Below are 10,959 nucleotides of genomic sequence, written 5' to 3'. Positions count from 1 at the left end.
GCAGTGGTGCGATCTCGACTCACTGCAGCCTCCGCCTCCTGGGTTCAAGTGACTCTCCTGTCTGAGCCTCCCGAGTAGCTGGGATTACAGGCTCCCGTCACCATGCCCAGCTAATTTTGTATTTTTAGTAGAGATGGAATTTCACCATGTTGGCCAGGCTGGTCTCAAATTCCTGACCTCAGGTGATCCACCCACCTCCGCCTCCCAAAGTGCTAGGATTACAGGCGTGAGCCACTACGCCTGGCCATCTTAACATCTTTAATGGAAGCTGCTAAGGAGAACATTTTTAGGCGCTACTTCTCAGTGTCTTTTAATTCAAATACATAACACATGCACACACACACACACACACACACACACACACACGTGCTGCCCAGTGGGAATGTGAAGAGGAAACTGTGCAATTAGTATCAATGAGTATTGTAGATAAATGACTACGAAGTCAAATCACATAAATCCAATTTCAATTCTTCGACCATGGACTTGTTCCTTCTAATTTAAAATTCATACTCATTTTAATATATTAATGAGAGTGAATTACATTCACTTACCATTATCTCACTGAGGCCCAGAAATAACATTTGTTACAGTGCAAACTGAATAGTACTTTGTGGGTGTCTGCTGGAAGAGGATGTGAGAAACTACTACAAGGGAATTAACCCTTGCAGTCCCCTGGCCCTGCGCACCACTATAACCCTCTGTCTGAGAATGAATTCCAGCTGGGCAGATGTTGAATTTCAGCTGGGCAGCTGCGTAGATCTCCCTGGCAACCACCAATTACCAAGTTATACCTTGTTTCCAGCCACAATACCTTGACTGTATTAGTATTTAGAGTTTCAGCACTTCTGAAAAAATGCCACTGTCACTACCCCTTGCCAGTGTCCCTGTGAAGTTTGCATTTGTGCACAATATTAGATTGGTACAAAAGTAATTGTGGTTTTGCCATTACTTTTGCACCAACCTAATATATATTTGTGTGTGTATGTGTGTATGTTTCAGAAATTCACTAACTCCAGGAAAGTAAATTTGAGTAATGTGAACAACAAGGCTGTATTTCCAGTCTGGGAAGGTTCTCCTTTAGATGCCATCATGTAGAAATAGTTATCTAGGTTTGGCATTTTAACCTGAAATGAAGTATTTCTCGTTTGCTTTGCTAAGTCGGAATGTACAATGCATTTTCACTTGTTGTTTATTTATCCATTTATTCATTGCTACTATGCAACAAATAATTTTCTAAAGAATATACTTTTCTCTAAATGAGCTAATAAACATAAGAATACTGTATTTACAAACTGACCACTATTAGAGCAAATGCTAAAGTGATACACACATCCAGGCACAGTTTGTTACCTTTAGCACTGATCCCTAACCAGATAAAAATCATAATTTAATCCAATCCTGGCCTCACTCAGGCCCAAGGAAAAACTAGCTTGCTAATTATCTTTGTCTTCTCTTCAGCTTAAAAATATTTCTAGGGAATATTCTAGAATTTAGTGTTGTGGTTTGTTTTCAGCAGCCTCAGCAACTCTGGGGAACTTGTTAGAAATGCAGTATCTCAGGCCACTTCGGAGCCACTGAATCAAGGCTGGACATTTTCATATGATCCCTGGGGGATTCATGCACATATTAAAATTCGAGAAACACTACCGTAGACAATAGCTAGTCCTGTTTTAACAGAAAAGCCACTCTCTAAATTTTGCAAGGAAGGCCACATTGGTCCTTCTAACTTCCTCTCTATTCCCTGGTAAACCTCAACTCTCCTAGAGTCAATCTCTCTGTTCTGACATAGTAGCTGCCTCAATAGCTTAGAGGTCTTTTCACCAAGACTGCTTCTCTCTGAGTGTCAACACACACCTGCTAACTCTAGATTCATCACACCCAGCAAAGAGTGCGATGGAATGTGGCTTACCTCCATGCTCAGCTCATGATGGTAGCACTACTGTTAACAATGGAACAAAGCCATTGTTATAGAGGCCCACATACTGCCTGCTCTTTTGTCCATTTGATATAAATTCCAAGAGGTTCATTGATTCCTTGCCTCTCTCCTGCTTGGTTTGGAGCTCCTGAGCATGTCCATTCAGACTTAATTCCGTGTCTGCCTTGCTGAATTGCTGCAGGATGAATGTCTAGGTCTTGGCCCATTTACAAATCTAATCAGTAGAAAAGCTGCGGGTGGCAAAGTGGTCAGGCTGACCTGACTGTGCAGCAGATTCCTTCCGGAAATTTGCTAATCTATGATCTTGAATCCTATCCAGGCAGCCCCCAGCCAGCTTCCTCCTCCAAGCTTTTACCCCTTCCACCCAAGACTGTTAGACTCAGTACTGATAGTCTCTTGTGTTGAAAAATAAAAAAGACTAAGAAAAGACATATTATAGATATAGAGTGATATATATTATCCAGCAAATGCCCATCTTCCTTTCCCTAGCCAAATGAGATTATTTTTTCTTCTCCTATCGGGTATTTTGCACCACTGTATTTGCAGATTAATTCTCCGCTTGTAAATGAATGCTTTTCTTCCTAATAACCCTATTAGGCTTCTAAAAATCATTCAAAGGTTTAAAAGGACTATACTTTTTTCCTCCTAAATCTATCTATCTATCTATCTATCTATCTATCTATCTATCTATCTATCTATATCTGTCTATCTATATTATCTATTTCTCTGTGTGTGTGTATATATATATATATTTTTTTTTTTTGAGACAGTATCACTCTGTTGTCCAGGCTGGAGTCCAGTGGTGCAATCCCAGCTCACCATAACCTCCACCTCCCAGGTTCAAGTGATGCTCATGCCTCAGCCTTCTGAGTAGCTAGGATTACAGGCGTGTGCTACCACCCGCAGCTAATGTTTTGTATTTTTAGTAGAGACACGGTTTCATTATGTTGGCAAGACTGGTCTTGAACTCCTGGACTCAAATGATCCACCCACCTTGGCCTCCCAAAGTGCTAGGATTACAGGCATGAACCACCTCTCCCAGCCCCTAAATATTTTAAAGTGCTTATACAGATACAAAATTATTTCATCAATCTATCTAATGGGATCCTTCATGTGTTGTGGGATGTAGCAGCAATAGTGAACTAATCACATTTATGGTGAATCTATTGGGTAGATCTCCACAATGTGTCTTGCAGATGACACATTCAATGGTTATCTGAACATGGCTATGTACTTAGCTGGTATAAACTAGCATGGCAACCAGTCCTTGACCTGTGCAACCCATGTAGTTTTGCAGCCTTGGAGCTGATGCTCTTCCTCCATGAAGGCTAAACTAATGAGTAGTGAACAGCAAGGTCATCTTGGGCCTGGTTAGCTGTTTTTATGCAAGTATAAATTAAAAATTCTACAGCACATTTTTCAGATCGTGTCACTCACAAAAAATGGCGACATTCGTACGGTGCACTGAGGTCACCTGGAGATAATTCATATCCCCTAACAAGCCTGCTGTCATGAAGATGACCACTCATGGGCCTCTGGCCACCCAGCCCCAGCTTGGTCATGTGGCAATGGGGTGTCAGTATCTCAGAGCACACTGTTTGGGAGTGTTTGTTCTCCTCAGAACAAATGCCACCGAGTGCCACCTGAGGGCAATTTTTCACACTCTGCCACTGAAATGGGAGGGTTCCCTTATTCCCCTTGCAGGACGTGTGACAGGGGTGTGGTTCACCCTGTGAGTTGCCCCTCTGCCCTGCTGCTCAAACCCCTAGGGGGAGCATGCAGACATGCAGTGCAGAGGCTTTTGGGGGTGGGTGCTGTTGAGCTCCAGGCCCATGGCAGCATCTAGGAGTGGGTGTCTACGACTCCCGAGGCCGCAGTGCACATGTGTTATAGTGTATTCTTTCAGCTTTGCCGTCTGCCGACAGCTTGTGTTAATCAGCTAAATGGAACCTCTGCCTTATCGCAAGGGCAGGGGCCAGTGTGACAGTGTGAGTTCTTGCCCAGTGTACTGGAAGAACTGGATCCCATGTGGGCTGGAAGGATGAGTACAAGGTTTTATTGAGCGGTGGAGGTAGGTCTCAGCAAGATGGATGGGGAGCCGGAAGTGGGGATGGCTTGGGAAGGTGGTCTTCCCCTGGATTTGGCCACCCAGCAGCCAGACTCTTCTCTGACTGCCCCCAGTTGAACTCCCCTCAGCATCCAGAGATCCTTCTTCTTCTCTCTTTCTCTGCCATGCAGCCCCACCGCTCTCTGCTGCTCTGTTCCTCTGCTCCTCTCGACGTTCAGCTGCCTGTGTCTGTGCCTGCTAAGGTCTCGAACTTAAAAAGACACAGGGTGGGGGGCGTGGTGAGCCAAAACAGAAATGCCCGTCCTCACATAGGGCCACGGGTCTTCAGGCTTGAGGGTGGGACCTTTGCCAGGGAACTGCCCTCTTCTACCCAGTATTTCCCTGTCTCCTGTGTGTATCACCACTACTTACCATACCCAGTGCTTTTTCTCAATGCCACCTTCCTATATCGTGCAATTCCTCTGCCTGTCTTCTTCCTTCTTCCTCTCTCCTTGACCACCACTTATGTCTGGTATGGGAGCTGTTAGGGTAATGAAGTTGTTCCTACCTTTAAAGGCTGGATCACACATGCAGATGACAGTGAGGCACGTGCTTGGAGGGCGGACGGTGACAATGCTTGTTGCTGCGGGCCAGGAGAAGGGTATGTTCTTTTTGTTTTTGAGACGGAGTCTCGCTCTGTCGCCCAGGATGGAGTGCAGTGGCGAGATCTCGGCTCACTGCAAGCTCCGCCTCCCGGGTTCACGCCATTGTCCTGCCTCAGCCTCCTGAGTAGCTGGGAGTACAGGCGCTCACCACCACGCTCGGCTAATTTTTTGTATTTTTAGTAGAGACGGGGTTTCACCGTGTTAGCCAGGATGGTCTCGATCTCCTGACCTCGTGATCCGCCCGCCTCGGCCTCCCAAAGTGCTGGGATTACAGGCGTGAGCCAAAGCGCCCGGCCAAGACATGTTCTTAAGAGGAAGCCCTGCAGAAATAACCTCCTCTGAGGTTATGCACAAGTCAGAGACCATTGCAGTCATCACTCGTCTCACATTTTTTTGGAAATGAGGTTTCTCAGTCCCATCATGCCAGGTCAGTGGATACTTCCAGGACAAACATTTTATGAAACTGAGAGCGATCTTGGAATTTCCTCCATTGCATGTTAGAAGTACATACTATCTTGTTGCGTAGTCTGAAAAGTCTGCCACCCACCTACAGAAGCAAAAATTCTAAAAGAAGGTCCTTATCTTTTTTTAGCCTCAAAGAAATAGATTTCCAATATTCTCAAAATGCTGGAGTATTCCTGCTACATTTGTATATATTTCACAATAAAATAGCACTTGGCATTTCTCAAATTTGAAAATTATATTCACTTATTTCAAAGAAAATACAATTCTCAAGAATCCCAGAAAATAAATGCTGACTTTAGAAACTAGTCTGTTTCACAAAAACATCTCTTAGTTGCAAATTGCCATTGCACTAAGAATGTAATATTTTTACTTTATATTAGGAAAAATTTCAAATATATACAAAAGTATACAGACACAAGTGATATAAGCAGGCGATACGCATACCGTCACCCCGTTTCAACAATGACCGTTCATGGCTAATCTTGCTTTTCCCTTTACATGTACTTTGATTGAATTACTATAAGGCAAATCCTAGACATCGTTATCATTTTGTTTGTAAACATTTCAACATGAATCTCTAAAAGACAAAGACTATTTTTTCACAAGATAAATCACAATTCCATTATCTCATTTAATTTTTCACTGTAATTAAATATCTAGTCTGTTACATTTTCCCAGAATATCTCATAAATGTTTTCGTTACAATTGATTTGTTCAAATCAGAATTCAACTTTTTATCTTATAACAAGTAAATAAGCAAATGTTTACTATTATCGTCAGAATAAAAACACCATCTTTTTTTTAAAAAAATTGGGGGATTATTTCCTAAACTCTAGGCCCACAAAATCAGTGGATCAAAGTTTGTGAAACATTTGTGCAAAAGTTAAGTGTGGGCTTGGGAATGAAATCAGTTCTGGGTTTGAATCTTGAGTCCTGACTGCTGTTTAATCCCAGCCTGTCTTGGAGTTTCTGAGGAATTCTGACTGAAATGATTACTGACTGCAGCTTCAGGTGACAACCATCTTACTGATGGTCAGTGCGTGCTAGCTAGGTGACTTTGAGCATCTCACAAATGAACAACTTCTTTCATAAATAAAGTTACGACCATCTTGTACTCTCATGCAGGGTCACCAGATAAAACACAAGAGGCTCAGTTACATATGAATTTTAGAAAAACAACAGATTTTCATAAGTATATCCCGAGCAAAAATCCCAATGTCACTGAGCCTCCAGTGTTTTTATTTGCTAAATCTGGCAGTGCTGCCTTCATGGTTATTTTGTGGCTTTCATGGGGTGACACATGTAAAGTGCTTAACACAAAGCCTGACACATCGTCACTGCATGATCGACATCAGCTGTTCCGCAGAGTCCACCCTTCGGGAGAAATGGGAGGGAGGGGCCCCTCCTTGGGCTCCCATCTGCTCTCTGCTTTGTTTGAGGACTGCTCCCCAGGTGGGAGACAGCCATCTTCTCCTAGCTAGAAGTTTGAGTTACAGCCAGTAATTACCTCCTGTAGGATTCCAAGTCTAGCTAAAGCATTGTAGTTTGCTTCAGCAGCCTGCCATGTTTCTGATAACAAAGATATTTCTGACTTCTACTTAAAAATTGAGAGCTCTGGCAGCTCTGGGACTACACTCCCACCTGGCACCCATCAGGGGAGCTGTGTAGCAGCTGCTCCCTTTAGTTGGGCATGTGCTTGCCAGTTTGCCATCTGGTCCATTCACCTACTCAGATCACTTGCCTGGACCCTGTGGGTATTTGAGTTTGCTACCGCCGTGCCTCATCCCCAGCCCTCTCCCTCTGCTGCATCTTTGGCTCCAGAAAATGCTGAGCATTTTCTGTATAGAGAGGAGAGGCTGGGGGTTGGAGAGCGGGGTTTGCTAGGAGAAAAGGAGAAAAAAAATGATCCAAAGACAACATCTTTAATGGCCCAATTCAAGCAACTGTGAATTGCATTGCCCATGACGCAGAAAAAAAAAAAAAAAAAAGAGAGAGGGGTTTAGTACGAATAAGAATGGAAACAGACAAACCAAAAAAGGGAAGGGCAGTGTGGTTATGAGTCTGGCTGGGGTTTAAGGGGCTCAGGAAGAAAATAGAGAAGCAGATGAAAAAAGACAAGTAACCAAAAACTGCAAGGAATGAGGAGGTTAGCTAATAGGAAGAAAAGAGAGAGAAGAAATGACAGGTTCATACTAACTATTAGAAACAAACATTTTCCTCAGTGGAGTAGAGTCTCTGCAAATAGAATCCCGGCCTGTCTTGGAGTTTCTGAGGAATTCTGATTGAAATGATCACCAACTGCAGCTTCAGGTGGCATCCATCTTACTGATGGTCAGTTTGTGCTAGAATCCAGTTTGGGATCTGAAGGGTAGCGAATGGGATTTAAGGCCTTTGCACCTCATGTGTCTTTCCCACTGGTGTGCCCAAAAGCTGTTGACAGAGTGACTTTGAGACATGGTGTTGCAATGACTGCTTCAAATGGACCTTTATGTGGTTCCCAGCCTTTCTTCTTACTCACTGAAAGCAGCTTCTGAAAGATCCTGTTTCTCCCAAATGGGCATGCAATTATTGGAAAGAAAATCTGCAGAAGGGAATTCTGTCATGTAAGAGCTGCTTTGAGAAAGAGGAAATAAGGGTCTTTGCCTTCTGGGGGAGAATAAGCAACTTCATAGGGAGGAGATATACCATGTTCAGCAAGAGCCCTCCTGAAGCACATGATTCTCTGGGCTTCAGTCACCTAGGCAAAGGACCATCCCTCTCTAGTGGGGAGGTAGCTTCCTCATCCATAGGCAGCTGGTTTCATCAAGACGAGAAGCACAGAGGTTAAAAACAATGTGGGGGAATGATGGAACTTATTGTACAGGAACTCAGACTATCTCTGTTTATGCAATTGGCATTACATGCCTTTCTGTAAATAACAATGCAATTGTCATTACATGCCTTTCTGTAAATGTGACAGATTTTTCCACCTGGATCTTGCACATTTCTTATTAGGATATTCCTAAGCATCTTCTTTTTTGTTTCTGATGAGAATGGAAGTCCTTTGAAATTGAAATTCTCACTTGGTTATTTCCAGTGAATATCCTGCTATCTACATTTGTATGTAAATTTTGAATCTATATATCTTGCTGAACTTTTTTATTAGCTGCAGGAGTCAACTTGTGAATATTTTATTTAGGATGTTTGTACCTTTTTCATACGTGTGATTTGCATGTCATTTTCTCACGCTCTCCTTGTCTAGTTTTGCCATCAGGGTTATGCCAAACTCATTAAATGAATTAGAAGGAATCTCTTACTTTAGCTCTGGGATAATTTACACAGTATTGGAGGTATCTCTTCTTAAGAGATTGGTAGAATGTACTTGTCCAAATTTCAAACCGAGTGGCATTTATTAGGAATATATCTTTGATCACTGTCTTTCAGGTTTCCTGTGGGGTGTGTGTGTTTGTGTGTGTGTGGGGGCAGGGGAGTGTTTCATGTCAGATCTTCTTAAGCCAAATTTTGATTAATTTTTTCTCTACACAGAAAATCATCTTTCTCATTTATATTTTCTATATTTAAGGCAAAGTCACAAAAAGTATTCTTCATTGTTTTAAAAATCTGTATCTTGAGTCCTGCTCTTTGTTAATTCTAATTTTTCTTATGTATGTGATTTCATCTTGTTCTTGATGACTTGCCAAAGATTTGCCAATTTTATTCAGCTTTTGTAAAGTACCAAGCATTTGTTTTGTTCATCCATCCTACTAATTTTTTTAAATAACATTTTGCTTAATTAGTTGATTTTTTTCTTACTCCTTAGGTTTGACTTTGTTATCTTCTTAACTCTTTTAGTGCCAGATTAGTTTACTTATTTTCAATTGTTCCTATTGAATTAGACTTCTTTTACTTACCCACTTCTACTGAGTATTTATGTTTTAGGTGGAGCAGACCCGCTCCTCATTCAAAATGGTCACATTGAAGTTAGTGGACTCTTGCTTCTTAGCAAAGATGCTCATTTTCTCTTAGGGTTGGTGAACTGAGGGTGGATAGGCCACGCACTGCAGCTGATTACTATTTTGCCACTACAGAAAGAACCTGCCTAAGAACAAAGGCAGCACAGAGGAAATAGGAATTGATGGTGTTTTTTGAGCACCTGGATCTAACCATGTTCGAACTCTACTCTGGACTCTAATTATGTAAGCCAAGTTTTTCCATTTGCTTAAGCCGGTTTGAGTTGGGTTTTAGACTCTTGTAACTAAGGAATCCTGCCTTGTCTTTGAATAAGGGCTTTTAGGCTTATCTATTTTTTTTTTTTAGCATATTGACTATATGCTGCGGGTTTTGATATGTTGTACTTACTGTATAACATTTCTAAACATGTAGCTAATAATTCTTATTTTAAATTTCCCTTTAACTTGAAAGGATTTAGAGTTTTAAAATTCTAGTTTGATAATTTTTAATATATTTTTTGTTTCTGTCTATCTCTATAATATTAATTTTATTGCATTATTAGTGAATGTGGCTTAATTTTTGCTTGATTGGGAATTTCAGAATTTGTTGAGATTTTCTTCCCATTAATACATGAGCAGCTTTAGGAATGTTTTATGTAGGTTTAACAAATATCCCAGCACTGTTCGGAGGCCGAGGCAGGAGGATCACTTGAGGCCAGAAGTTCAAGACCAGTCTGGGCAACATTGTGAAAAAAAAAAAAAATTAGCCAGGTGTGTCCCAGCTACTTGGAGGGCTGAGGTGGGAGGATCGCTTGAGCCTGGGAGGTAAAGGCTGCAGTGATTCATGATTGCACCACTGCACTCTAACCTGGGTGACAGAGTGAGACCCTGTCTCAAAAAAAGATCATATATTTCTTATGTCTGCACAGATATAATTTTGGTTTTTGTATAAGTATTGTTTTGTAAACAGTAATATATACATATAGATTAAGGTTATTAATTGTATCATTCAGATGCTGTGTATCTGTCTATCCATTTTTGTGGGAAACACTTTAAAATCTTTCTTTAAGATTGTGAATTTGTTTATTATTCTTTGTGTTTGTGCCAGTTGTTGCTTTATGTAGCTCAGGCAATTTGTTGGTTATATTAGAGTTCATGTTATAATTTCCTAGTTAATCGTAACTCTTCACAATATGAAATACAATCTCTTTGTTTCTTTCATTGCCTTTTCTTTTGCCTTGCATTCTATTTTGTCTGGTATTGTATTGTCACACTTGAGGTTTTTTGTTAGCATCTGTTTTGCAAAACTTTTTCAACCTTTCTGTATCATAATTGCATCTCTGGCAAGTAACATATAGTTGCATTATCTTATTGTTTTTGTTTTGTATCCAGTGTGAGAATATTTAGCAGGTGAACGTAATTCACTTATTTTATTGTAATTGCTGGTATGTTTACTTTCTGAAAGTAGAAGTAAAATTGAACCAATTAGTGCTATAGTTCCACACAAGGAAATATTCTTCTAAAATTATTTCCCTAAAGTTATGTTCTTAAGATTTTCTTCCCTTTCTTCTTTCTATCCTTTTCCTTAAGGTAGATGTTACCATATTTGGATATGTTCTCTAAGACCTTCCTTTCCCATTTTCCATCTTTCTGTCATTTGGAACTATCTTCTTAGAGAACTTTTTAGCTCCATTCTCCAGCACACCGCTTTTAAGATTTATCTATTTGCTATTGATCCATCTATTGAAATTGTTATTTCAATAATTATGATTTTTATCTTCAAGTCCCCTATTAGTCATACAACCTGATTTTGCTTCGGGAATGTGTGATATCCTATTCCTTCTGAAGATATTATTCATAATGACATCTCTTTTCATCCTCCCATCTCTTTCCTCTATTGGCTCTGTTTTCTTTTAT

At 40.8% G+C, this 10,959-nt stretch overlaps 2 annotated features.

Moving 5' to 3' along the window:
* Positions 552 to 611: a silencer, noted in NCBI's record as "silent region_18898". NCBI's record gives its function as "represses an Ori minimal core promoter by ATAC-STARR-seq in GM12878 lymphoblastoid cells {active_cell/tissue: GM12878}" and the evidence as "EXISTENCE:reporter gene assay evidence [ECO:0000049][PMID:35858748]".
* Positions 642 to 731: a silencer, noted in NCBI's record as "silent region_18897". NCBI's record gives its function as "represses an Ori minimal core promoter by ATAC-STARR-seq in GM12878 lymphoblastoid cells {active_cell/tissue: GM12878}" and the evidence as "EXISTENCE:reporter gene assay evidence [ECO:0000049][PMID:35858748]".

Source organism: Homo sapiens, chromosome 8 (assembly GCF_000001405.40).
Source record: "Homo sapiens chromosome 8, GRCh38.p14 Primary Assembly".
NCBI lineage: Eukaryota > Metazoa > Chordata > Mammalia > Primates > Hominidae > Homo > Homo sapiens.
Note: the sequence above shows the minus strand (reverse complement) of the source record. Positions and strands in the feature narration are given on the sequence as shown.